Source organism: Homo sapiens, chromosome 17 (genome assembly GCF_000001405.40).
Source record: "Homo sapiens chromosome 17, GRCh38.p14 Primary Assembly".
In the NCBI taxonomy this organism is placed as follows: Eukaryota; Metazoa; Chordata; class Mammalia; order Primates; family Hominidae; genus Homo; species Homo sapiens.
This window is the reverse complement of record NC_000017.11, coordinates 27,877,236-27,905,000: the sequence shown is the minus strand read 5'-3', so window position 1 is coordinate 27,905,000 and position 27,765 is coordinate 27,877,236. Positions and strand designations below refer to the sequence as shown.

General features: G+C 46.2%; 1 protein-coding gene across 5 annotated transcripts, besides 5 other annotated features; it reads left to right on the top strand.

Moving 5' to 3' along the window:
• Window positions 11,455–12,004: a silencer, noted in NCBI's record as "silent region_8331". NCBI's record gives its function as "represses an Ori minimal core promoter by ATAC-STARR-seq in GM12878 lymphoblastoid cells {active_cell/tissue: GM12878}" and the evidence as "EXISTENCE:reporter gene assay evidence [ECO:0000049][PMID:35858748]".
• LYRM9 (LYR motif containing 9) lies at window positions 11,636–26,643 on the top strand. Of its 5 annotated transcripts, XM_047435562.1 has the most exons (6): window positions 11,636–11,684; window positions 12,675–12,758; window positions 22,028–22,062; window positions 22,289–22,432; window positions 24,635–24,727; window positions 25,511–26,643. In XM_047435562.1, the coding sequence occupies exons 4-6, from the start codon at window positions 22,307–22,309 to the stop codon at window positions 25,526–25,528; spliced, it is 237 nt and encodes a 78-aa protein (XP_047291518.1). In that variant the 5' UTR covers window positions 11,636–11,684; window positions 12,675–12,758; window positions 22,028–22,062; window positions 22,289–22,306; the 3' UTR covers window positions 25,529–26,643. The 5 variants fall into 5 exon arrangements, with proteins under 5 accessions (XP_047291518.1, XP_047291519.1, NP_001070148.1 ...); XM_047435563.1 differs by lacking the exon at window positions 12,675–12,758; XM_011524491.4 differs by lacking the exons at window positions 11,636–11,684; window positions 12,675–12,758; window positions 22,028–22,062 and adding exons at window positions 15,799–15,905; window positions 24,818–24,880.
• Window positions 15,015–15,966: an enhancer, noted in NCBI's record as "H3K27ac-H3K4me1 hESC enhancer chr17:26216061-26217012 (GRCh37/hg19 assembly coordinates)". NCBI's record gives its function as "activates a minimal SCP1, AML or CMV promoter by ChIP-STARR-seq in naive H9 embryonic stem cells {active_cell/tissue: H9 hESC(naive)}" and the evidence as "EXISTENCE:reporter gene assay evidence [ECO:0000049][PMID:30033119]".
• Window positions 15,967–16,918: an enhancer, noted in NCBI's record as "H3K27ac-H3K4me1 hESC enhancer chr17:26215109-26216060 (GRCh37/hg19 assembly coordinates)". NCBI's record gives its function as "activates a minimal SCP1, AML or CMV promoter by ChIP-STARR-seq in naive H9 embryonic stem cells {active_cell/tissue: H9 hESC(naive)}" and the evidence as "EXISTENCE:reporter gene assay evidence [ECO:0000049][PMID:30033119]".
• Window positions 19,286–19,435: a silencer, noted in NCBI's record as "silent region_8330". NCBI's record gives its function as "represses an Ori minimal core promoter by ATAC-STARR-seq in GM12878 lymphoblastoid cells {active_cell/tissue: GM12878}" and the evidence as "EXISTENCE:reporter gene assay evidence [ECO:0000049][PMID:35858748]".
• Window positions 22,346–23,036: an enhancer, noted in NCBI's record as "H3K27ac hESC enhancer chr17:26208991-26209681 (GRCh37/hg19 assembly coordinates)". NCBI's record gives its function as "activates a minimal SCP1, AML or CMV promoter by ChIP-STARR-seq in naive H9 embryonic stem cells {active_cell/tissue: H9 hESC(naive)}" and the evidence as "EXISTENCE:reporter gene assay evidence [ECO:0000049][PMID:30033119]".
• Window positions 26,644–27,765: the final 1,122 nt, after the last annotated feature.

Here is a 27,765-nt window from a genome sequence, read left to right as displayed (position 1 = left end):
ATTTCCTTATCATTTCTGGTTGAATTAATGTTTCCCATAGAATATTTGGCCTGCCTAATCAGACATATGTGCAGGGAACTTGGTTGTTTTATTTAATTTTTACTTGAACGTCACCTATTATTTTCAGTATCAGAGCCATACTAAAAGATTATTTTTCCATGTCTAAGTTCCAAATGGCATACACACAAATCCTTATGGAGCTCTGTGGGTGGAAAGTTCAGAGTTCAGAGGCTCCTACTCTTACTGGAAAGAATGTCCCAAAGCTTTCCATTCCTGGAGACCTGATGATTTCAGCTGGTGGATTATTCACTTGTGGTCTTGTTGCACCCACTAACTGCATGATGGCCAAGGCAGTTACACATCTATAAAGTCTGGGGGGAGAGTAAAAAATAAGGAATTTGGTATAAACCAGTGCATATTATACTGGTAAAATAGTAGGAAAGGCAAAAATGAATTTTGGAGGAATTTGCTGTAGGTTTTAATTAACCATCTTGCCCTTGTTCCCCATTATCATTGATTTGTGTGATAAGTGCCAATTATATGTGTCATAAGTATACTCCTTTTTGCTGAAGACAAGAGATCTTATGTGTGATGCAAATAAGGGTTCTCAGAATGCTAATTTTGTAATGAGCCGATGCATTCTTCAAGGAGTTTATAGTCTAGAGGGGGAATAAAACATGTGCATAAATAATCATAATGCAAAGTAGAAAACTGGCATGTCATGAGACAGCACAGAGAGAATTATGGCCAAAAAAAAAGGGTGGAGAAATAAATTATAGTTGAGAGATGTGGGAAGGCCTGTTTGAAGGTTGAGGGAAATTGGCATAAAAGCAAATTGAGAGTATTAGGTGTGGTTTCCAAAAGAGGAGAACAGCAGGGAGAAAACACAGAGGTGGGACAGCAAGAGATTTAAGTGAGGAACAAGAAGAGGTTTGCCAGGGCCATTGTGGGAGGGATGTGAAGCAGGAAAGCCCCGCAGGTAAGGCTGCAAAGGTAAGTCAAGATGCGGTCACCATCATGCAGACCCTGGAATCCAAGACTAAAACACCTGCACCTCTGGCTGCAGACCAGGGATCCACAAACATTTCTTTTGGAAATGGTCAGACAGTAAATCTTTTTTTTTTTTTTTTTTTTTTTTTTTGAGGCAGTCTCCCTCTGTTACCTAGGCTGGAGTGCAGTGATGGGATCTCTGCTCACTGCAGCCTCCGCCTCCTGGTTTCAAGTGATTCTCGTACCTCAGCCTCCTGGGTAGCTGGGATTACAGGCGTGCGCCACCTTGCCCAGCGAATTTTTGTAATTTTAGTAGAGACAGGGTTTCACCATGTTGACCAGGCTGGTCTTGAACTCCTGGGGTCAAGTGATCCTCCCACCTCGGCTTTCCAAAGTGCTGGGATTATAGGCATGAGCCACTGTGCCTGGCCCAGAGAGTAAATCTTTTAGGCTGTGTGAGCCATATTGTTTCTGTCACAGTAACTCAGCTCTGCCATTGTAGCACAAATGCACCTATAAACAATACATAAATAAATGGGCATTGCTATGATAAAACGTTACTTATGGATACTGAGATATGAATTTTATATATTTCTCACATGTCACAAAATGTTCTTTTGATTTTACTGTCTTCTACTATTGGAGTAGGCAGGGGCATGAAGCTGTAACCATCTCTTAACCTCTGAGTTTTCTTTACCCTTGGCCATATCCCCATCACCACAGAGGGCCAAGTGTTGACTGAGCTTGGATTCAGTGGTTAAAGCTGCAAAGTCAGTGTGTTGAGTGACTATGATGGTGCATGCGTACATCAGTGGTTGTTACCAGGACCAAGCTTCAGTGCGCAGCACTAGGGTAACATTCAAGCTGCGTGCTCCTGACAGACTCTAACGCTATTTGATATTTAAAAAGAAATACCTGGCTGGATGCATTGACTCACTCCTGCAATCCCAGCACTTTGGGAGGCCGAGAAGGGGAGATCAATTGAGATCAGGAGTTTGAGAATAGCCCGGACAACAAGGTGAAACCCATCTCTACTAAAGATACAAAAATTAACTGGGCGTGGTGGTGTACATCTGTAATTCCAGCTACTCGGGAGGCTGAGGCAGGAGAATCGCTTGAAACCAGGAGGCGGAGGTTGCAGATTGTGTCACTGCACTCCAGCCTGGGCAACAGAGCAAGACCGTCTCAATTAAAAAAAAAAAAAAAAAAGAAAGAAAGAAAGAAAGAAAAAGAAAAGAAAAGAAATATGTAAGTCAAGAGTTTTGACAAACCATGTGTAGTAAATGAGGTATGCAGCCCTCTATTTTATGAAACCCAAGCTTTGGTACAATACATACTGGCATCCCTAAACCACCTTCCCTGGGCTGAATTAGGTCTTTCTCTACATCAGTAGGCTAATAATAACTCCCATCCATTTCCTGGGTAAGGTTCTGTAGTTCCCAGCAAATGGTTTTCTTCTTCCTCACCTTCTCTACCCCCTCACTGCTCTAACCTGCTTTGCAGGGGAAAAAGGTAGAATGAGAGTGGGTTCAGCCTGGTGGGCCAGTGGGAAGCCTCTTAGCCCCCTCCAGCTCTCTTTCCAATTCAGATACCCTGAGAGTTAACACAGAGGTCGGGGAGGCCAGTTGACCTCCAGTTGAAATGTTGAACCAGCTTTTCCCTTGGTGAGCTGGTAAAAGCAGTTATCTATCTCATTTCCAAATATACCTGATGTCACAAAGGGTTTGTTAAAAACATCAAATAATCCATCTTGAATTGATTTTTGTATAAGGTGTAAGGAAGGGATCCAGTTTCAGCTTTCTACATATGGCTAGCCAGTTTTCCCAGCACCATTTATTAAATAGGGAATCCTTTCCCCATTGCTTGTTTTTCTCAGGTTTGTCAAAGATCAGATAGTTGTAGATATGTGGCGTTATTTCTGAGGGCTCTGTTCTGTTCCATTGATCTATATCTCTGTTTTGGTACCAGTACCATGCTGTTTTGGTTACTGTAGCCTTGTAGTATAGTTTGAAGTCAGGTAGTGTGATGCCTCCAGCTTTGTTATTTTGGCTTAGGATTGACTCGGTGATGTGGGCTCTTTTTTGGTTCCATATGAACTTTAAAGTAGTTTTTTCCAATTCTGTGAAGAAAGGCATTGGTAGCTTGATGGGGATGGCATTGAATCTGTAAATTACCTTGGGCAGTATGGCCATTTTCACGATATTGATTCCCTAAAACCATAAAAACCCTAGAAGAAAACCTAGGCATTACCATTCAGGACATAGGCATGGGCAAGGACTTCATGTCTAAAACACCAAAAGCAATGGCAACAAAAGACAAAATTGACAAATGGGATCTAATTAAACTAAAGAGCTTCTGCACAGCAAAAGAAACTACCATCAGAGTGAACAGGCAACCTACAGAATGGGAGAAAATTTTCCCAACCTACTCATCCGACAAAGGGCTAATATCCAGAATCTACAATGAACTCAAACAAATTTACAAGAAAAAAACAAACAACCCCATCAAAAAGTGGGCAAAGGACATGAACAGACACTTCTCAAAAGAAGACATTTATGCAGCCAAAAAACACATGAAAAAATGCTCATCATCACTGGCCATCAGAGAAATGCAAATCAAAACCACAATGAGATACCATCTCACACCAGTTAGAATGGCAATCATTAAAAAGTCAGGAAACAACAGGTGCTGGAGAGGATGTGGAGAAATAGGAACACTTTTACACTGTTGGTGGGACTGTAAGCTAGTTCAACCATTGTGGAAGTCAGTGTGGCGATTCCTCAGGGATCTAGAACTGGAAATACCATTTGACCCAGCCATACCATTACTGGGTATATACCCAAAGGACTATAAATCATGCTGCTATAAAGACACATGCACACGTATGTTTATTGCGGCATTATTCACGACAGCAAAGACTTGGAACCAACCCAAATGTCCAACAATGATAGACTGGATTAAGAAAATGTGGCACATATACACCATGGAATGCTATGCAGCCATAAAAAATGATGAGTTCATGTCCTTTGTAGGGACATGGGTGAAATTGGAAATCATCATTCTCAGTAAACTATCGCAAGAACAAAAAACCAGACACCGCATATACTCACTCATAGGTGGGAATTGAACAATGAGATCACATGGACACAGGAAGGGGAATATCACACTCTGGGGACTGTTGTGGGTTAGGGGGAGGGGGGAGGGATAGCAATGGGAGATATACCTAATGCTAGATGACGAGTTAGTGGGTGCAGCGCACCAGCATGGCACATGTATACATATGTAACTAACCTGCACAATGTGCACATGTACCCTAAAACTTAAAGTATAAAAAAAAAATCAAATAAAATGTATTTTTTACTGAATTTGAAATGATATATTTATGCTTGAGTAAAATTTATCTAATTTATCTCCTTCCCTTTCATCTTTCCTGCCACCTCTTCCCTTATCCAGAAAAGTCTTTTTTTTTCTTTCTTTTTTTTTTCCTTGAGACAGAGTCTTGCTCTGTCACCCAGGCTGGAGTGCAATGGTGCGATCTTGGCTCACTGCAACCTCCGCTTCCTGGGTTCAAGTGATTCGCCTGCCTCAGCCTCCTGAGTAGCTGGGATTGCAGGTGTGCACCACCAAGCCCAGCTAATTTTTGTATTTTTAGTAGAGACGGGGTTTCACCATGTTGGCCAGGCTGGTCTCGAACTCCTGATCTCGTGATCTGCCAGCCTTGGCCTCTCAAGGTGCTAGGATTACAGGAGTGAGCTACTGTGCCCAGTCTCTTTTTCTTTTTTTGTTTTAAATTGAGGCAGGGTCTTCCTCTGTCACCCAGGTTGGAGTGCAGTGGTGCAATCACAGCTCACTGCAGCCTTGACTTCCTAGGTTCGAGTGATCCTCCCACCTCAGACTGCTGAGTAACTGGGACCACAGACATATGCCACCACGCCCAGCTAAATATTTTAATTTTTTGTAGAGACAAGAGTCCCACTTGGTTGCCCAGGCTGGTCTTGAACTCCTGGGCTGAAGTGATCCTTCTGTCTCAGCCCCGCAATGTGCCGGGATTACAGTCATGAACCACCTTGCCCAGCCAGAAAAGCCTTTAATTTTAACATTGAACAATGTATGGCAAGGAAGAGGTTAATCAGGTGACTAACTCACTTTACAACATTTTAAGGGACAGAAAATGAGCTATTACTTGTGACAACATGGAAGTCATTGAAAACCTTGTTAAGCAGTTTCAGTGGCACGAGATGGAAACCAACTGTATTGGCTGACGGGTAAATGGGGGAATGGTAAGTGAGAAATTAAGGCTTCCCTTGTAGACAACTCTAATGACGGCTTCTTGTCACTTAGATCTCAGTTTAAATGTCACCTCTTTGGAGTGATCTACAGTAGCCATCTGGTGAAGACCACATGACCACATTTTATTTCTCTGCAAAGCACTCACTTATGACCTGATCATGTCTTCTTTCTTTCTTTGTTTTCTCTGCTCCTAAGACACCACACATGCACACTGATCAAATGGGTTTTATTTATTCTGTCTCCCCAGAACCTAGAAAACTGCTTGGTACCTGGTAGGTGTTCGTTTTTTGAATGAAAGGATAAAATCTTGGCTATAAGGGAGAGTAGAGAAATAGAAATCTATCTGGTAGGGGATATGGAGCAATCTCATATGGGTGTGGGATGTGGATATGTGTGCTTTCTGTTAATTTGTTTTAATGGGAACCCCTAGCCCATTGCTTGTCTGACTTTGATGTGCCTGGGAACCATCTTGGGATCTTGCTAAATGCAGATTTTGATTCTGCAGGCCCAGGTGGGAGATTCTGCATTTCTAACAAGCTCCCAGGTGAGGCCCAGGCTGCTGATCCATGAATCCCATTTTGAGTAGCAAGTCCCTCGATCACATTGGTATGTTGCTTAGAATGAACAGGTGGAAAGGGGGTGATTAATGAAGCAGGAGAGAGGGGATAACTCTAGGAGCAAAGATTTGAGGAACACACAGGGATTGAATCCAGGGAACCAGCAGAAGGACCGTTTTTTTTTCTTTTTCTTTTTTTTTTGAGATGGAGTTTTGTTCTTGTTGCCCAGGCTGGAGTGCAATGGCGTGATCTCAGCTCACCGCACCCTCTGCCCACCTCAACCTCCACCCACTGCAACCTCCGCCTCCTGGGTTCAAGCGATTCTCCTGCCTCAGCCTGCCCAGTAGCTGGGATTAAAGGCATGCGCCACCATGCTCGGCTAATTTTGTATTTTTAGTAGAGATGGGGTTTCTCCATGTTGGTCAGGCAGGTCTCAAACTCCTGACCTGAGGTTATCTGCCTGCCTTGGCCTCCCAAAGTCCTGGGATTACAGGCATGAGCCACCGCGCCCAGCCAAGGACCGGTTTTTCAAAGGCAGAAGGAAACTTTCCACAGCATATCAGGAAAGAAGGGGAAGGAGTGAGAAGAAGATCTGATGATGTCTATCTTTCAGTGAGGTCCTCTGCTGAGACTGAGGGTGGAGGTGGGGTGTAGGAGTTCTGAGAAACAGAGTTATTTTCTTCCCAGGCAACATCCATTATGCCTTTGAGGATTGGATCATAAATTTAAAGTAAAACCCATCAGCTCTGTTGTGTAATTTTCTCAGCATTAATCTGCTTGGGTGCAGGTTGGAGAAGGAGGATGGTAGATTCATCCAGAGTGAGTGTGACAGAGGCCAAGAGGAACCAGGGAGTTGAGGGTGTTGGTAAGAGAGTGATTTTAATGGTGGACCACAGGAAGTGAGGCCTAGGCACTGGGTGGGATACTGCTACTCAGTCCCAGCTCTCACTCATGGGGCTCTAGTGCAGAGAGAGATATGACTGATATAATAACACAAATGCATATCTATCTACATGTACCCACACATATATATGTATGTATTATGTGTAAATGTCCATGTATATGTAACTACCACAACTGTCAGTGCCCCACCCTTTCGCCTTACCACTGCAGTATACCCGGCTGATTTCCAACTGCCAGCATCTGTATCTCTTTGCCTGAGATCATGGCAGGCTAGAAGTACCAGGGAGTTAGTGCCCCCGAGAGCACTGTGTGACCTGTAACAAACAGGAATTGGTGTATAAATACCCCAGGGTGGGATAACCAAGGTGTGGGTTCCACACTGTTTCCCCAGCAGGACGAAGCTCAGTGGTCCCTGGTGGTAACTTGCTTGGGAAGGCTCTCTTCACAGGCTGCCTTCTTTTCCTTGCCTCACTTCCCCGCTTCCTTCCTTCCTTTCTTTCTTTTCTTTTCTTTCTTTTTTTTTTTTATGATGGAGTTTCACTCTTGTCGCTCAGGCTGGAGTGTAAGGGCGCACTCACTACAACCTCCGCCTCCTGGGTTCAAACGATTCTCCTGACTCAGCCTCCTGAGTAGCTGGGATTACAAGCTATCACCACCATGCCTGGCTAGTTAATTTTTGTATTTTTAGGAGAGATGGGGCTCTCATCATGTTGACCAGGCTGGTCTTGAACTCCTGATCTCAGGAGATCCACCCACTTTGGCCTCCCAAAGTGCTGGGATTACAGGTGTGAGCCACTGTACCCAGCCTCACTTCCCTATTTTCTCACTTAGTGTTTTCTAGAACCACCTTTCAAATGAACTAGTTGTTCTCAAATCCTTGCTTTGGGGGCCTCTCTGGGGGGAGTCCAAATTGGGGTATATGTAACTATAAATTGTGATGCATGCCATGGAGAAAAGTACAGTCTACTCTTTGGGTGGGGGGACCTGCTCCATTATGGGGTGGGAATGTGGATGTCAGGGAAGGCGAGGAAGAGATCTATTAGCTGGGATCTAAAGGAGGAGCAGGGCAGAAGGACACGATACAATGAGTGTCTGAAAGGCCACTGTGGCTGCTACAGAGGACGGGGACATGGATGGAAGCTTAAGAGGCCAGACCCTGGAGGGCCTCATAGGACATGGTAAGGAGTTTGGCGTATGTATTCAGAGAACACGGAGAAGTCATTAAGGGGACTACAGCAGGACAGCGACAAGACTATACCTGTCTCTAACCATAGTGGAGAAGGACAGGAGAGCCCGCATGGCAGGGATAGAGTTCAGAGGCCTCCGCTATGACCCAGGGTCTTGCATGGAGTTTTGCACATGAAGGAGTCTCAACAGATGTTTGCTGAAGTGGAAGGTAACTATTAACCATGTAGTTGACTGACCAGAACACCCAATTTCCTGGCCAAGCCGATAAATGATTTCCCTTCATTAACGTTGCCTTTTTTTTTTTTTCTGGGCTGCTACACTTAAAACTCTATCATCCCTTTCTCTTGGGGACAGCATCAACAGGATAACTCCCTTCTACTTTTACTTATTCTCCACTTCCCTCCTTTTCACTTTCTTCTTTCTCTCCTTCTCCTCTTCACCCCTTTGTCTCTCCTCTTTCTTCAAATAATCCTATTTAATAAAGTTGATTATTTCTTACCGTCTCCATTCCTATTAATGGTGGCATGTAATTCTTGTCTCTGGACATCTCAAGACACTGCAGATATAGTCAGTGGAAACAGAATTACACTTTGTGAGCAAGGTAATTTTAAGTGGATCTTTAGTCAAATGCTGTCAAAATGCAAAAAAGAAGAATGTTCCCAAGCGCATTCACTCCTTTGGTAATATTGCCACATACACATCCAGCATGCACTTGAAATTTTTATGAAAAAGAAATTCCATTCCAAAGGTGATTCATACAAAACATTATGTGTATGTGTGTATGTTATTTACAATTTGAAATCATGAGACATAGAACATATTTTCAAGAGATAAAAAAAGTGGGGACATATTCAGAGATAACATACATCTGATCACCAATGTGGTTTCACATGTGGTCACTGTTAATAAATTACTACAGAACACACTAGAAACAGAGAATGACATATACCAGTCAGCAAAGTTGGATTTATGGTGCTGCAGAAAGTAACATAGTATGGAGGACCAGGAAGGCTGAAACCCAGCCCATAAATTAATCTCCAAGTGTATGTTGTAAATAGTCACAATTGTACCCTTTTTCCTCTTGTGTTCCCTTTTATAAAAATATTGAAATCCTTGCTCATCCCTTTCTTTTGCCCAGCAATTAAAGAAAAACAAACTAGATGTCTGAGATTTCACATAACCTTTCATACCCAATATTTTTATTGTCTTAAATCTTGAGTAGTCAGCAAGAGTTGTGTTTTGCAATACGCTGGGGTAAGGAAAATCTGTTCACCCCATTTTCCATTTTCGCCCCTGGTGTCCTCTTCTGGCATATTCACCCATCACCCCATGGCCCTCACCCTGTGTTCTGGCAGGATTTGAGACATGCAAATTGCAAGCTGGTAAATAGCAGCTTTGCATATTTTGAATAGAAGAGAACAACGTGGTACCACTCATTCTGTTCTCAGGGAAATCTGAGATAATAGGGAGCAAGATCGAGGGCAGACCGAGGGTCTTAAGTATTTTCTTAAAAGTGTTTATTATGCTTATTAAACCTATTGTACACTGATGAATTAATTTGAATTATTTACATGGTCACCCTTGGAGACAATAACCTGATTTAATCAGAGGATGCAAACGTTATCATTTCTCTTTGAAATCTAAAAACAGGTTTAAACTGGAAACGTCAGGACTTCTTGTATCTTTCCCTACAAATACTGGTTACAAATCTGCAGTTGTCAGGCTAAATGACATAATGTCAGAAATCAAGAGAATGTGGTGTATTTCTTAGGAAAGTCAATAAACTCCCCTGTGCGAACATGTCCCCTGGACAGTGGGTGACTAATTTCTCAAGTAAAAGGTCTTTCTATTTTGTTTATCTGTAAATATCATGCACTGTCTGACATAAGGGGGTTCATCTGCTAAAATTTCAGTGTATAGGAAAATGACATGGTAAAAATGGTTGGGGTTTTATCAGATTATGAGACTGGTGTCATTTTAAGTGAATGTTTGGACTAGTAAAAATTATTTCATTTTACTATTGAAGCTGTAAGAACCTAAGGTTGCTGTCAAGTTGAAAGGTTCAAATTCAATTATTTTCAAATCTAGGTTTCCATTGTGACTTGGAAAAAAAATTAGAGATTATTGTTCAAATCTCTCCTACTTTGGATTTTTTTTTCTTAGTATTTGGATGTTTATAAGAAATTGTTGTGAAAGTTAAAATCTTGTGCGTTTGTAAAATTGGAAGAGGCACAAGTGATTCTGAAGGTGGAGCCTTTCAGAGGTAAAGCAAACAGCTTGCATCTTCAATATTTTATGAGATCTAGGTATTAGAACCATGTTTCTGATGCAGGAATACAGCTATCTAGGAACAAAAGGGAGATGAGACTACAGAACAGACTGTGAAATTTCTTAAAATTATTAAATGATCCTAAGACTGAGCACAGGAGTGGATGATGTTACTGCAGATTGTTCTTAATAAGGGCTTTAAAAGCTTAATGATTTATTGATTGGCTCTGCATTAATGACGTGCCCTTGATTATGCATGTGTAAATAAGAGGGCTGATTTATGAGGGTACAATTGTATCTTTCAGATATATTTGTCCAAGTCTACATCTTTAAAATAAATGGAAGCAATTATCTGAATATTTCAAGGGAGGGAACCCCACCTTCCCATCCCCCACCCCCGATTTGAGGGAAGTCTAGTATGTTAGGTGAAGAGAAAAAAAAAGAAAAGAGGAAGCTCTAAAGGGAGTTAGGAACAAAACAAAACTTCCGTTAAGAAATATCCCTGCTTCTCTTATCCTAAGAGAAGAAAAACAGATTCCCAGGTGCCACCGGGGAGCAATGTTTTACTTAAAAAAAAAAAAAGAAAAAGGAAAAAGAAAAACCTGTAAGAAGTTGTCCTGTTAAATCAACGACACATGGAGTCTGAAGGAAATCAGCCTTTTCGTTACAAACAGGTTTAAAAAGCCCTGGAGAAGAGAGACGTGAACAGAAGCAATATTATCCACTAACAACCTAACTCCCGCTTAGACATCAGCTGAGAGATCAGCAGCATCATTGAACAGGGGGGTTTGTCTTAAGATAATGACTCATCTTGATTTCTTTCAGGATATAAAACTTGTATTTAAATCAATTCAGAGAAGCACTTGAGCTTTAAACATTAGAGAGCAGGGAGAGCCTATTTAATAAACAGCATTATTTCATTTTCAAAGAATGATACTGGCAGTAGCTCTAAGTTTAAATTTTGTATTATTTTCCTCAATTATAATTATAGATGGGTCTGAAAGGAAGCATGCTTATTACTGTCATATTTATTCTTTTGACAGGTGTTATGGGACTGTAATTTGGTGAAATGATTCAAAACGCAGATTCCTATCCAAACACAATTCTTGTCATCAACACGAGAGGTTCAGGAAAAGTCCTCCAGCAAGCCTTTCAGAGATCTTGAACACCCCATATTCATAGCACAATCCATATTCAGGAATAAGGAGGAGAGAGTGCCTTTAGGGCTTATATCCGGCGTAGCAACAGCCAGAAGGCAGAGTGGGTGTTTGAGGTAACAGGTAACGAAGGCTGTTAGTGGGGACAGCTTTCAACTGGGTGGGGTCGGATCTAGGAAGAGGCACCCAGTAGGACCCCGAGTCCCGCGCGCGGCCGGCAGAGGGCGCTGGGCTCACCGTCGCCGGGCAGGGGCGGTGCCGCTCAGTCCCCGGGGCGCAGGCGCACTCGTCGCCGCGGCGGCGTCCGGGGCTGGCGTTCCCCTGGAGGCTGGTGAGCCGCGCTGCGCAGGCCGAGGCCGAGGGCGGGGGCGCGGGGGCAGCGGCGGCCGGAGCCACTGGGTGGCGGGGGCGGGCTAGGGATGTGGAGGCCTCGGGTGTCCTCGGATCTATTGAAGACCTAGGGGCGACCCGCGCCGGCACCTTTTCCCTTGCGGTCTGCGCTCTTCCACCGGAGAGCTGAGTGCACCGGAGCGCGGCGCCCGGGCTTGACGCAGGCCTGGCCGGGCGGCCTCGGAGGAGCAGGAAAGGCCTGCAGCGCGAGCTAGGGGCGCGAGGTCCGGGGCAGCCCGGAGGCCAGCCTCTCAGAGGCTCACGGGCCTGGCCACTTTTAAAAGGAGAATGTCCCCTCCACCGTCCCTCTGCCCGCGGCACCCGGTGGCCGGAGCAACCTTGTCGTGATGATTTATGCTTCTGCGTAAGAGCAAGTTGCTCCGTGGCCAAAACCCTTTCGCTCCTAGGATTGATCCTTTTTGTGGTTATTGTTTTAAAAAGTTTTATTGAGATATAATTCACGAAGCATACAGTTCACCCATCTAAAGTGCACAATTCAGTGTCTTTTAGTGTGTTTGCAGAGTTGTGCAGCTGTCACCATAATGTTTTAGAACATTACCCCCCAAAAGAAACACCTCCTTTAGCTGTCACTCCCCCCTCCCATCTACTCCCATTCTCCCAGCCCTAGGCAACCACCAATGTACTTCTGTCTCTGTACTTTTGCCTATTCTGGATGTTTCGTATAAATGGAATCATACATTAAGTAGCCCCTTGTGACTGGGTTTGTTCACTTAGCGTAATGTTTTCTGGGTTCACCTGCCATAGGTTCTTGACTTCAGGACAGTTTCCTGCTGGCTTTAGTTTCCTCTGGTAACTTGGGAATCAATTGACATCTATGGAACTTCTGTTATGGTTCAGGTACTATAAACTGTGGAGGAGTGACTAATAACCGTATATATATTTTTCTTACTAATTTCCCTTCATTTCACAGGTGTTGAACTAATACAGTATAGTTTCTTGTTCTTCAGAAGCTTACAGTCAGCAAGGAACAGAAAGCCAAATAAAGTAGGAAAGGGTAAGATGTTCAACGCTGGGCGCAGTGGCTCATGCCCATAATCTCAGCACCGTAGGAGGCTGAGGAAAGAGGATCACTTGAGCCTAGAATTTTGAGACCAGCCTGGGCAACATAGTAAGACTTCGTTTCTATAAATAATTAAAAAAATTAGCCAGACGTGGTGGCGTGTGCCTGTGATCCCGGCCACTTGAGAGGCTGAGGTAGAATCGTTTGAGCCCGGGCAGTTGTGACTGCAGTGATCCCTGATCATGCTACTGTACTCCAGCCTGGGTGACAGAGTGAGACCCTGTCTCAGGACAAAAAAAAAAAAAAAAAGATGTTCAAGCACTTAAGATGTGCCAGCCCCTGTGCTAGGCACTTTCCATAAGTTAGCTAGGTTGGTCTTTACAAAACCCCTGTGAGGTGGGTTATTCTTTTCTCCAGTTTACAGTGGGGGAAGCAGAAGTCCAGAGAAGTCAACCAGGTTGGCCAGGATTACACAGCTAGTAGATAGCAGAGGTAGGCTTTTAAACTAGGGTTCTTTGTCTCCAAAACCTGCTCTAAGTTCTGTCACATCGATTATAATCACAATAAGTGATTACAGAGCAGTGTGATGACTGTAATAGGGGTGTGAACAGCATGGGATGAAAGCCTGAAGGAGGTGACAGGGAACTGGATCTCTAAGGATGAAGGGGAATTCTTGAGGCAGGTGAAGAAGTCAAGGTAGGGGAAAGCACAGCATGTTTCAGAGATGGTATTAACAATAACAGTTAGTAGGAAACATGTAGTGTGTGCCAGGCATCATGCTTAGTAGTCTAGGAGCGTTATTTCATCCTTACAACAGTCCTATGTAGGAAATACTATTTATTAGGGACCGCATTGACAGATGGGGAACAGACTTCGAGATAGAAGTTAAGAAACTCGTCCAGGGTCCTAGAACTAGCAGGTGATAGAACCAGGATTTGAACCCAGACTGTCTGATCCCAGAGTCCTCCAAGTTCAGTCTGTGGCTAAAATGCAGGAAGTGTGGGAAGGACAGCAGGAGGGGAGACTGATGAGAGGGATTGAAACAGATCTCAGAAGGCCATGGGTAGAGAACTCTCTACAGAGGTTCTGAGGAAGGGGAGTGACAGGGTGTGCTTTTTAGGAAGTGTTCTTGGGTGGCACCATGTGGATTGGGCTGGAAGGAGGGAGACAGATCAGGAGGTATTCGGATAGTCCCAGCCAGGTATGGGTACAAAGCTGGGAACCAAGGTAATGCCAACAGGGATGAAGGGGGCAGGGAGGGGGTGAGGGGACTTTAGAGCCTTGGCTATGTAGGAGAGGGACTGGGGGAGGCAGGGATTGCTGCCCCATTGCTAGCTTGGGAGAACACAGATGTGCAAGATGGAGCCCTGGAGTGGGTGGGGGTGGGAAGCAAAACCACTCCATTCCTATTTTTCAACTTTTCCCTTCAAGAAGAGTAATTGCATATTTAAAAAATGGCCTGTGCAGGCTTAATTTAGCGTGTATCAGTGCTCAATAGGGCATAATTTCTGGTTATTTTCTGCAGTTCCATTCTTTCGTCTTTTTTTAATATATGACTTTTTCCCACTTATTTTTAGGTGCCTATATCGGGACATAGATTAGGGAAAAGGACAGTGGGGTTAAATGGGACTGTGGGCCTGCTTCTCAACATCTGTGCCAGTGATAACACTTGGCTTCCAGGAAATTCCCTTTGTAGCTTTATTTTCTCTTTTTAAAAATTCTGTCATATTCTCCTTTGGATTTGGTAAGAGCTTTGTTGTTAAGCATTTCTTTAGTTGCTCCTTTCCTTTATCTGTGTAATTGATGTCAGCCTGGTGACTCTTTCTTTCTTTTGATTTTTTTTTTCCATCTATATGCAGGGGGAAGCTGCAGACGATGTCCTTGGGTTTCAGAAAGGCATGGAGCAAGGTTTTGTAGAGAAGATTGAGGAGTACTGGATAATAGTGCAGTCAAGTGCCTTTATAAGTGCTTGAACCTGGTCATGCATGAACCCTGCCAGAGTTCTTTGTGGGGTCCTTAGCCCTGATCTGGTCAGTATTTTTATGAGTGGCTCAGACATAGCAGGTAGATTCACGAAGCAGATAAGGGCATAGTCTTTGGAATCAAATAGACCTAGGTTCTATTCCGGGCCTTGCTCTATACTAGCCTTGTTGCTCTTGGCAAATTACTTAACCTCTCAGGGCCTCAGTTTCCTCATCTATAAAATGGGACTAATGATACCTCCCTTAAAATATTGTTGTGAGGATTAAATGAGGTAACATGAAAAGCTCTCAAACTTGGCATGTCCTACTCATTCCCTGGATGGGAGCCATCGGCTTTGCAGAAGGCTCTGGGTCAGAGAGCTAGGTACACCAGACTGTTCATCTCTGTGGTCCTAGGGCTGGGTCCAGAGTTGTACAGGTGCTAGATGCTCTGAATGGCATGGCGTAGTTGACTGATGCTTACAGTATATAGGGTTACTGTCTTTCTCTTTGTCTTTACCCTGTGTTTACCTGGGGTGTGACTGTTTCTGTGCTCTTATTTTGTTGAATTGAGTTGATATAACAGACCCCCCTAAGGATGGTGGCAGATTGTGACTCTGGAATGACCTCATAAAATAAAAGATGGGGAAAGAGACTTAAGAACAGCTCATGGAGCCGGGTGCAGTGGCTCACACCTATAATCACAGCACTTTGGGAGGCCAAGGCAGGTGGATCACCTGAGGTCAGGAGTTTGAGACTGGCCGACATGGCGAAACTCCGTCTCTACTAAAAATAGAAAAATTAGCCGGGCATCGTGGCATGGACATGTAATCCCAGCTACTGGGGAGGCTGAGGCAGGAGAATTGCTTGAACCCGGGAGGCAGAGGTTGCAGTGAGCCAAGATTGCGCCATTGCACTACAGCCTGGGGAACGAGAGCGAAATGCCGTCTCAAAAAAAAAAAAAGAAAAAAGAAAAAAAGAGCAGCACATGGAAAAATGCCTTTGAGCCAAATGCCAGGGCCACGTGAGGGCCCCAGCAGAGAAGCAGTCTGAGCTGCATTCCTTGAATTCCCAGGTCAAAGGAGGTGACAGGGCCACTGCCTGTGGAGTTGGTCAGAGCATGGCCAAACTGTTGTTTTCCCATGGGACAGCAGGTTTAAGAGTGGTATCAAAAATAAAGGTACGTGTGTTGAGAGGAGGGCAAGTGGGACAGAGACACTTTGAGAGGCGACAGCACCTCCCCGCTGCTTACATTGGAAAAGGGACTAGGGAGGGGCTGGGATAGTTGACTGTGAATAATGAAAAGCTGGGCTTGGGAGGAGGTGAGGGAAGATTTTGTCCCAAAGAGTAGAGCTCTTTGTGGAGTGAGTAGAACTTTACAGCGGGGAATTTTAACTCAGAACTGGAGGGACTTTCCAATAGCTTGAGCAGAGCGAAAATGGGGGACTTGTGAGTTTCCTGCCACTTGGAGCACATGTAGGGAGAAAAGCTGGGTGACTTCCTGCCAGGTGTGTTTTTAAAGCGATTTTTTATTAGGAAAATTTTCCAAATATATGGAAGTTAAAATAACAGCATGGTGTTCACCCTTAATGCCTACCATCTAAACGTGATCTGAACATTCTGCTGCATTTCTTCATCTTCCTCACTCTTCTCTCTGTGCTGTCTTTTGCTGAACTATTTGAAAGGAGGCTGCAGACCTGATGACATGTCACCTCTAAATCCTTCTGCCTGCGTCTCCTGAGAGTAAAGTGATTCTCCCACATAACCACATCGGTCTTATAACCCAAGAAAATTCATAATTCACACTATCGTTTCACATCCAGTGAAGATTTTCATTCAGGAAGTTGGTAAATCACTGTGACCACCATATGGAGAATGGCTGGTGGGGCCTGAGGGCAGGTGGATACCCTTCCAGCAACCCCAGCAAGAGCCTGAACTAGAGGCCTGACCTAGAGTAATGAGGGGTGATGAAGGCTGTTTCAAGGTAACCACAGGCCTCCCACTGAGCATGGTGGCACTGAGGAGGAGATGCCAGACCACAGAGCTGAGTGTGGAAGAGGCAGGAGGTATTCAGGAAGCAGAGAGGAGCACTGTAGGCAGAAGTAGGAGGATTCGTTCAAAATAGAAATTGAATGTCTACCAGGATAGTTAATTTTATGTGTCAACTTGGCTGGGCCACAGGAGGCCCAGGTATTTGGTCAAACATTATTCTGGGTGTTTCAATGCGGGTGAGATTAACATTTAAATTGTTCGATGGAGTAAAGCACACAGCCCTCTATAATATGGGTGAGCCTTTTCCAATCCATTGAAGGCCTTAAACGAAAAGTCTAAGCCTCCCCTGAGTAAGAGAATTCTCTTGCCTGTGGCTTTCAAACTGGGACATCAGCTCTTCCTGGTTCTACAGCAGCTTCCAGCCTTTGTGCTTGAACTGGGACATTGGCTCTGCAGATTTTGGACTTGCCAATCTCCATAATTGCATGAGCCAGTTCATGGTAATAAACCTCTGTCTCTCTCTGACACACACACACACACACACACACACACACACACACACACACACACCCTCCCTCCTATAGGTTCTGTTTCTCTGGAGAACCCCAATGAGTAAGTACATCTACTCCATGCCAGACATTCTGCCCCAGTGCTGAGACCATAACAGGCAAACACAGCATGGGCTGTTGTGGAGTGTGCCATACAGGGCTCAGTTTGCCTGGACTAGGCTGTGGGTGGTGAGAGGTGCAGATGAGGGGTAGGTAGGGGCCAGATCGAGAGGGGCCTTGCAGGCCATGGACAGGAGCCTGGATTTTATTCTGTAGACCAGTGCTTTCCACACTTCAGGACCCTCATGATTTTTGCCGGGTCCACATTTCAATTTGATACATAAAAAATCAGTTTTATGAGCATTTGAAAAAACTGCTTTAGGCCATTAATACCTATGAAAACGTGTTTTTCCCCCCTCATTACACATGAAAATAAATATAAAATCATTACAATAAAAAATACTGGCTGTATACTACTTAAAGTAATTTCAGGTATTTGTTCTACATTTTGGGAAAAGTTGCCATGAATGATGGGGGCAGGGGTGGATATTAGGGGTTTTAGGAAGGACAGGACACTTTGAGATTTATGTTTTAGAAAGATTCACTCTGGCTGTTGGGCAGAGAAGGATGGCAGAAAATGGACTGGAAGACAGGGAGACCAGCTAGGGGCTGTTGCAGTTGTCTCAGAGAGAGTCTGAACCAAGGGTATGCAGTGGAGTAGAGAGGAAGGGAAAAATATGAGGGGCATTCAGAGGTGGAATTTGATAGGAATTAGAAACCAGTGGCATGGGGCCGGGTGTGGTGGCTCACGCCTGTAATCCTAGCACTTTGGGAGGCCAAGGTGGGTGGATCACCTGAGGTCGGGAGTTTGAGACCAGCCTGACCAACAGGGAGAAACCCCATCTCTACTAAAAATACGAAAATTAGCTGGGTGTGGTGGCATGCACCTGTAATCCCAGCTACTCAGGAGGCTGAGGCAGGAGAATTGCTTAAACCCAGGAGGCGGAGGTTGCGGTCGAGATTGCGCCATTGCACTCCAGCCTGGGCAACAAGAGCGAAACTCTGTCTCAAAAAAAAAAAAATAAAAAAAGAAAAGAAAAGAAAGAAACCAGTGGCATGGGGATTGAGGAGAAGGAGGAACCTGGGTTGACTGTGATGATTTTGGTTTGGTTGCCTGGGAAGATGGAGGAGCCATCACAGAGGCAGGGAGCCAGGATGCAGAGGCCAAGATCAAGTCCAAAGGGCAGGGCAAGGGAGGCAAGTGTTGCCAGGCCCAGAGGCATTGACTGCAGTTTTAGCAATGATGCTGTGAGGTTCATTGCCCCTTAAATAATAGCAAACCTACGCTTTAAATTAAATTAAAACATTTTTAGTTTAGCTCTTCTAAGTGGACCCACACATGTATTCTCTACTAGTTATTACTGAGAATGACTAAGTATTATAATTGAGCTGAAAATAATCTGCCGCCCATACTTGCTGGGTTGGTTACTAAGTATTGCTTGAGTTTTTAAGTAATGAAACAAAGTTGTGCTCTTTCCAAATGTTAATTTTGAGGACTGCAGATGGTAACCATCTGTTCCGCGACTAGCATTTTACAATATTTGATTACTACTTTATATAGTTTGGGGAAGCCTGCCAGTGGAGTCTACCCATCAGGTTTGGGACTTTGGTGGTATGTCTCCTGTGGTTGCTCCTGATGGTCTTGGCCACCCTTGAACGGGTTCCCCTCTGATTTCTGGGTGGTGAGTCGGACTGGCATGGTCATGATTGATAGCAGGAGGAACTTGAGAAGCCCTGTCCTGTCCGACTCTGCCTTACAGCTGGAGTCATCAGATTGCATTGTGGAAGAATTTGTGAGGATCTGTCCATCAGTTAGTACCCTTTGAGATACAAGTGACAAAACAAACCCCAGCTGCTTTGGTGAAAGGGGATTAATTGGCCCAGATCATTGAGAAGTCTAGGGGAAGGACTTCCTTCAGGTAGATGGTTTTAGGGCCCAAATGAATTCTTTTTTTTTTTTTTTTTTTTTTTTTTGAGACAGAGTTTCACTTTGTGTCATCCGGGCTGAGTGCCGTGGTGTGATCACAGCTCACTGCAGTCGAGGCTGAAGTGATCCTCCCATCACAGCCTCTTGAGTAGCTGGGACTACAGGCGCATGCCACCATGCCCAGTTAATTTTTTATTTTTTGTAGAGACAGGGTCTCCCTGTGTTGCTCAGGTTGGTCTCAAACTCCTGGCTTCAAGCAATCCACCCATCGCAGCCTGCCAAAGTGCTGGGATTACAGGCGTGAGCCATCACCCCTGGCCCAAATACGTTATTTGGGCTTGTTTTTTTCTCAGGGTCTCAGCTCTGCCTTCTGCTATGTGGCTATGGTCTCAGGCTTCTAGAGGAGGCAAGGTGGCTTCACTGAGAGAGGATCAAATCCTCCCAGCATCAAGTTTAGTGGGAAGGAGCTAGAGTCCTTTCACGCCACTTCTGCAGAGGTGTTGCGATGCACTCTGGTTGGACTAGCTTTTGGCACGTGCCCGTGTGTGAGCTAGTCCTTATATCCATGTGGATGCAGGGCTCTGATAGTCCCACTCAGACCTTCTGGGCCAAGACCTGGGGAGGGGTGCACCCCAGATCACACATTGGGGCTGTTACTAGAAGGGAGAATAGATGGTGGGGGTCAGACAACCACCTATCCACTCCAGCATCAGAGCAAGAATCCAGGGAACCAGGAGGAATTGGCTAACGTAGCTGAGGAGACACATTTATTGTTGCCGAGGAGATAATGGGATGTAAATGGAATGAAGGAGCCTCTGGAACCAGCTACTTCCTAAGCTTCCCTTCTTAGTTTAAGGGCATCTGATAGATTTAGTTTCTGGTTCTTTTTGCAAGGTGAGGGGAGGGTTTTTTTTTTTTTCTTATATGTTCCTTTAAAACTAAGGCCAGTCACTAGATCTCTTTTAGCTCCTTCATCTGGAACATAAGGGGCATCTCTGTACAGAGGAGATAGTAGCTTCATTCTGTTTAGTTAACAGTGAGTGAAGCCCACTGCGGGCCAGGCGCTCAGCCCAGGGAGAGCCACAGGCGAGGTAGCAGATGAGTCCCTGGCAGCACCATGAGCGGGGCACTGCAGCCCCACAGAGGACAGGGTGAGCACCTCTGTCTCCAGAGAGGGACCGTGAGGAAGGGCTTCCTGGAGGAAGGACACTAAGCTGAGCCTGGAAGGATGAACAAGGTTCCTCACACGGAGAAGATGGGAAGGAGTCCACGGCCAGGGAGCTGCATGTGCACTGAAAGGCGCCACATTTGGTGGTTTGAGGGGTCTGGGAGCAGTTCCTGTGGCTGACTGGGATGCACCCAGGACACTGATTCCAGAGCTCACGTGGTGTCAGTGTGGAGGAGACTGGAGTGACAGGCTAGGTACTGGGACACCAGGCAGATGCTGTGGCAGAGGTTCAGGCAGGAGCCTGATGAAAGCTTTGCAAGCCCATATGTTCTAGAACCTACCATTTAAAACAATCTATACTCTCATAGTTCCTTTAAAAAAGAAGAGGTTAAGCTAGAGTTGTGGGTTCTTTAGAGAGAGTGTTAATACAGAGAAGAATGTGGGTTCTGTAGACACAAAAGAGAGCTTGCTGTATAATTCCATTTATACAAAACTCTGGAAAATGCAGCGGTTGCCTGGGGATGGGGACGTCGGGAGGGCGGGAGGGAGGGATTACAAAGGGTATGCGGTAAATTTTGGTGATGATAGATATGTTAACTCTCTTGATTATGACGGTGGCTTCTCCGGTGTGTACCTGTGGCAGCACTTATCAAATTATATACTTTAAGTATATGAAGTTCATTATATATCAACTATACCTCAATACAGCCTTTTTTTTTTTTTTTTTTTTTTTTTTTTTTTTTTTAGAAAAAGGCTCTGGAGCCAGACTGCCAGAGTTCAAATCCAAGCTCCAGCTTTATTAGCTGTGTGATCTTGGGCAAGTTATCAGACCTCTCTGTGACCGGTTTTCTTATGTGTGCATTAATCACATGTAAAGTGAATAGAGACAAACAAGTGCTCATTGTGATTCTCTCTCTTTTTTTTTTTTTTTGAGTTGGAGTCTTGCTTTGTCACCCAGGCTGGAGTGCAGTCGTACTATCTTGGCTCACTGCCATTTCCACTTCTGGGGTTTAAGTGATCCTCCTGCCTCAGCCTCCCAAGTAGCTGGGATTACAGGCATGCACCACTAAGCCTGGCTAATTTTTGTATTTTTAGTAGAGACGGGGTTTCACCGTGTTGGCCATGCTGGTCTCAAACTCCTGACCTTAAGTGATCTGCCCTACTTAAAGGCGTGAGCCACTACGCCCAGCCCATTGTGATTTTTATGATAACTCATAGTGAAATGAAATCACGTGCCCACGCTGTGGTGACTCTGTCCAGCAACTTCTCTGCAGAGCCCCCTAGATTCATGCTTCTCAGACTTTAAAATGTGCCTGCAAATCTCCTGGCATCCTTGTTAAAATGCAGGTTTGATCTGGTGGGTCTTTGGGGTGGGGCCCAAGACTACATTTGTGATGAGCTCCCGATGCTGTGGGTTTTGCTGGTTCAGGAGCACACTTTGAATTTCAAGGCTCAGGCCTGTAGGCATTCTCCCCTCTGTGGCTTGGTGCCCTCGCCAGACCATGGCTGATGTCAGAGCTGGTTTCCTAGTGATTGCCCCTCAGGGTCTTCCTGCTTTTCTACCCTACCCTGCCGGTGAGGGACACCTACTCATGCACCACTTGAAGTTGAGTTCCAGAAAGAAGACGCCAGGGATGAGGCTGTAAGTCTCCCTCCACACTCACCTTTGGTCTTGTGGGCCTGCTCTGGGCTAGAGCTTCTGTTGAACTGAATGCCCACCCCACCCCAAGGTGCAGGCTCCATGGGATGGGACAGGAGGGGCCTCTGCACTGCACCAAGCTTGCTTCCCAGAGTACTGGGAACTGGGGGTCAGGGCTGAGTACTGAACTTGGCTTGATGCCCTGGAAGTGATCCTGCTTGTTTTCCAGGGACAGAGGGTCTCACGGATGGCCCCGCTGCCAGGAGCAGAACTGGTTCGGAGGCCACTGCAGCTCTACCGATACTTGCTGCGCTGTTGCCAGCAGCTGCCGACCAAGGGCATCCAGCAGCATTACAAGCATGCTGTCAGGCAGGTGCGAGCTGGCTCTACCAGGTCTGGGGGCTGCCTCTAATGGCAGGCTTAGGGGCGCAGGTCAGAGGCCAAGGCCAGGGCACAGAGCTAGTCTCTGAGATGGTGGTGAGGTGGCAGTGTGGGAAGAGCCACAGGAAACCAGTGCTGGGCAGCCCAGCTCCTCTCTGTCCAGGAAACAGAGGGTGCCTCACCCAGCACACCAGCTGTGCTAGGGCATGCATGAGGCAGCTAAGTGGGTAATTAAAATAGACTGTGGGACACGACATCATTTAGGCAGGCATCCCTGCCAACAGTGCACAACTTGAATTTAATCCTGAGAAAACATCAGGTAAAACCAAATCGAGAGGCCATCTACCACATAACTAATAGGCCTGTACTCATCAAAAATGTCAGTGTCGTGAAACACAACGCTGACATTTTTGATGTTCTGGATTAGAGAACTCAAGAGATATGGTGACTAAATGTAATGTATGATCCTAGACCAGAAAAAAAATGCTGTAAAGAATATTATTGGGAACCAGGCATGGTGGCTCATGTCTGTAATCCCAGCATTTTGGGAAGCTAAGGCAGGCAGATTGAGCTCAGGAGTTCAAGACCAACCTGGGCAACATAGAAAGACCTTGTCTCTACAGAAAAATCAAACAATGAGGTGGGAGGATTGCTTGAGCCCGGAGGTCGAGGCTGCAATGAGCTGTGATTGTGCCACTGCATTCTCACCTGGGTGACAGAGTGAGACCCTGCCTCAAAAAAAAAAAATGAATATTACTGGGGCAGTGCATGAAATTGGAATATGGGCTATGGATTATAGAGTTGTATCAATGTTGAGTCTTCTGAATTTGATTACTGTGGTTATGTCAGAGAATGCCCTTGTCATTAGGAACTACACATGGGAATGTTTAGGGGTAAGGATAGCGTGTCTGCAACTTACTCTTAAATGCTTCTGAAAAAATTTATACATACTTATATAAAGAGAATGATAAAGCGAGTGTAGCAAAATGTTAACAGTCAGTGATTCTGGTAGGAAATTCTTTGTATTATTATCACAACTTTCTGTAAGTGAGAAATCATTTCCAAATAGAAAGTTAGCTAAAATTCATACACATATAATATGGAAAGTAAAAAAAAAAAAAAATCAGAGGTGGCGGTAGCCACAGAGGGCTGTGGAAACATGGAGAACGAGCAGTTAGCTGTCTGGGGGAGTCAAGGAGGGCATGCCAGAGGTGGATGCTGAGCGGGGGGCGCTCCTAAAGATGAGCAGGAGGATGTGTGGGGCTGGGAGTGACAGGGGAGGGAGGTGCCAGTTCTTTTTTTTTTTTTTTTTTTTTTTTTTTTGAGATGGAGTTTCACTCTTGTTGCCCAGGCTGGAGTGCAATGGCTTAATCTCAGCTCACCACAACCTCTGCCTCCTGGGTTCAAGCGATTCTCCTCCCTTAGCCTCCCGAGTAGCTGGGATTACAGGCATGTGCCACCACGCCCGACTAACTTTGTATTTTTAGTAGAGATGGGGTTTATCATGTTGGTCAGGCTGGTCTCCAGCTCCCGACCTGAGGTGATCTGCCCGCCTCGGCCTCCCAAAGTGCTGTGATTACAGGCATGAGCCACCATGCCTGGTGCCAGTTCTTTTTGAAAAGCAAAACCTGAATCTTAGGTTGCTTCTCAAGGATGAATATCTGGTCAAAAGCAAACAGTATCCCATGCTCTGCACTGGGCCTGGGTGGATTTCCTGAGGCCACTCTATCTACTACCTCCCCTCCCTTCCCTGTGTAGCTCTCCTAGCACTGGGCCGAGAGAAGTCCTACTTCTTCCTCCCTGCTGTAAAGCCTATGCAGAGATCTCACCCTGGGGAAAGCAGCGTCTTCTGAGGAAGAGAGATGGAAGTTTCCCCTTGGACTCTACTGCCTGATAGCCTTTGGGCCTAGCTTGATTTGGCAGTAACTTGGGGGCCAGTCTTTTTGCACCTACCTTGGTGGCAGGAGTACATGCTTTGCAGTCACATAGACTAGGATTCAAATGCTATTGTTCAGCAGCAAGTGAGCCTCTGTTTCCTCATCTCTGTGTGGGATAATCATAACAGTCTATGGAGGATGAAGAGAGCTGCTGGGTATAAAGTGCCCAGCAGTGTCCCTGGCCTGTGATTGGTGCTCTGAAGCTGCCTGTCCTGGGAATTTTGCCTAGTCATCTTTCTTTATGCTTAAACTTGCAGAGTTTTCGGGTTCATTCAGATGAAGACAACCCTGAGAGAATCCAGCAGATTATTAAAAGAGCCATTGAAGATGCTGACTGGATCATGAACAAAGTAGGTGCTTGGCCCCTGGGCTCTGCCTGCGAGCTGGGGTGATGATGGCTGTGATCCCCATGACCACTAGAGGCCACTCCTGCCCCACAGTTGAGAATGGTCCCTGTGGAGGAGGCCACCAGCCAGCTGCTTCCCTCCTCCAGAAGCTGAAAGGTGAAGACAAATCCCTTCTGGTTGCATTTATATTCTGCAAGTGGGGAGGGGCTCTCACTCTTCATCCTTAAAGGCAAATTTCTGCCCAACAGTGCTGATCGAGCTGAGAGGGGGCAGCAGGAAGAAGGAGGGAAAGCTATAGTGCCAGAGCCGGCGGTGGCACTGTGATGCCGCAGAGAGGGAAGCTGTCCTGGCGGGGGACTCCCTGTCTCTGGGGGGTATTCACACTGGGGCAGAATTATGGAGGAAACATTCAGTATGTTTTGGTGGAGGAAGGGAGTGAGTCAGGAATGTAGACTGGCGTCTTGGCCCTTAGATGCTGGTATTAGAAGGACCTAGAGAGTTGGAGTGTGACCATACCTCCCTGTCCTTCTAACTCACTCTCCAGAGTGAGTTATCACTATCCTCCCTCCCCAGCCCTGTCAGCTTCCTTTTTCACTAAAGAAGAAAGGGAGTCCAGGCATGAACTAGAGATTTGGCTGCCCAGTGCCTCCTGCTTGGGTTTCACCACCTCCAAGAAGCCCCTGCAGGAGGCAGGTGAGGTCCAGATGATGGAGGCCTGAGATTTCTCCAGAGTCCTCCTGCCCCTGTTGGCTTCCCTCCTCCACTTCGAATCTCTCTGTCTTGCAGTATAAAAAACAAAACTGAGAGCTCCGAGGGTGAGCCTTCCTGGCCTCTGGAAGTTGAGAGGCCCCTCTTCTGGAGCTCAGCAGCAGCAGCTGGTTTGGAAGAGCCATTGGCCTTGTTGGCTGAAAGCCAGAAATCAGGGGAGAAGCTGACCTTGCTCCAGAGGCTCCTCTTGCCGCGGCCATGTTGCTAGCATCCTTTATGTTTGCACTTCCAGCCACTTACGATGTGAAATTTGGGGAGAATGTAGTATTTTTTTGCTTCTTTTGTGTGTTTTTTATTTTTGTGTTTTTGTTCTTTTACTTTTCTCTGAAAGTGATTCATTTATTCTGGAGATCTCTTTATCATTCTCTGAGTCCCAGAGCAGATGTCCCCTCAGGTAGCAACCTGTACAGAAGAAAGCACGTGGGTTTTAGAACCAGACAGATCTGGATTTGAATCCCAGATGCAATAAGATGAAGGTGAAGTGCCTCACACAGGATGTGGCACATGACAGTGCCTGAAGGGCTCCCTTCAAGGAAGCCGTCCTGCCCCGCCCCCTCCTCTGCTCCTGCAGCGCCCTGCACAGCTCTGCTCCCCGCATGCACCGCATCGGGTCTCAGTTTTTTGTTTGCGAGCTTGCCCTGTCCCTGCTTGTAGCCCCTGAGCCCTCACAGTTGTCACACACCCAGCAGTCTGCCAAGGAGCTGCTTTTCCTGACTACTGTCTCTCCATGCCTAGGGAAGTCAAAGCCCTGGGCCTTGCCTTCAGGGAGTTGACAGTGTCCTTGAAGTGGTGAAGTGCCCACCACATGAACCAAGGAGAGACGCCAAAGCAGCTGCCATGGACTCTGGCCTGTCCAAGCCTCTGTGCACCTGCAGTCTCTTTCCACTGGCACTTCCCTGCTTTGCTACCATCGTGGAAGAATGGAAGGGAGGGGGAGAAGGTGGGTGGGCTCAGGGAGAACGGCCAGAGTGGCCAGAAGATGCAGAGAGAAGCCCCACTGGGATCTGAGTATTCCCCAAGGGCACTCAGCCACAGGGATGAACTAGTGTTTGTTTGTATCCTTGCAGTTATGTGACTTAAAGTGACTCAGAGATATCTATGTATGCGAGTGTACTCCGCTGGCAATGAAGTAAATATATCAATTTGTGGAAGCTCGTGTGTCTTCTCAACTGATAAACCATACGTTCCCTAAGCATACGTTGTCTCCTTCCTGAGTGTCATCTACTGTTGAGAACCTAGAGTCAAGTCAGACAAAGCTGCCCAGGAGGGGTCATTCTTCAGAGAAGGTGACTGGGATTGGCCCCACTGCTAGACAACAGTTGATGAGGTCAGATCTGCCCCACCAGGGTATGGGCAAGCTGAGGGGTTTCAGGCTAGGGCCAAAGCTGAGCCAGGCCCCTGTCTGCACCCCTGCCGTTGAGCTGGGGGCCCCTCCTCAGGTGGCAGGGCTGTATTGTGATCATAGGAGTGGGGGCAGCTGTATCCCAGATGTTTCCCCAACAGGAGAGAAATGATTGAAGGCTGACAAGGGTTCAGGATAGAGTTAGTGTCGTTTGCTCTTGACCAGCTCCTGGAGTGGTTCTATGACCTTTAGTTCCTAGGTAGGTGCTTGGTCCAGCTGTGCTGACTTGCCACATGTCAGACAGTGGTTGCCTAGCTCCAGCATGTGGCTGGCCTGTGAGGGAGCCAGCAAGGGGTGGGGTGGGTGAACAGTGTGTTGGCTGCTCTCCCCCAGCCCCTGTGCTGCCACAGAGGGTAGTGAGCCCGGTCATGCAGGGGCCCACGGTAGGGGAGGCAGGATGCACACAGCACTGTGCACACAGGGGCACTGTTGAAGCCTGGGAGAGCCTCCCATCCTCAGCAGCAGCCTTGCCTTCCACCCTGCCCTCTGACTTCCACTACTCCAAGCCCTGCGTGGACCATGCGTATGGGTCCTTCATTTCTCCTCTCAATTCTCAAATGCATAGAGTTGAAGGTTTACAGAGTAGCCTCCAAGCAAATGGAAGAAGGAGATGAAGGTCTCACCCAGAGTCAGCCAGTGTGGCCTGCTGGAGGGGGCTCTGGAGATACAGACACCTGAATTTGAATCCCAGTCTGTCACTTAGTGGTGGTGTGATTTGGGGCAGATTTGTTAACCTGTCAGGCTCACTTTTCTCACTGCTACAGGTTGCACATCCCATGGGCTGGTGAGATTACGGCAGTGCACACAGATGGGCTGTCAGCCATGTGGCCTCCATCTCTTGTCTTTGGTTTACCTGGTGATGACACTTCTC

Bases quoted from the DNA above. Each gene is read 5' to 3' on its own strand.
- LYRM9 (XM_011524491.4), top strand. From the start codon at position 15,846: ATGGCCAAACTGTTGTTTTCCCATGGGACAGCAGGTTTAAGAGTGGTA. The intron at 15,906-22,288 runs GTACGTGTGTTG...CTTGTTTTCCAG, and splicing joins GAGTGGTATCAAAAATAAAG to GGACAGAGGGTCTCACGGAT. The intron at 24,728-24,817 runs GTAGGTGCTTGG...CCTGCCCCACAG, and splicing joins CTGACTGGATCATGAACAAA to TTGAGAATGGTCCCTGTGGA.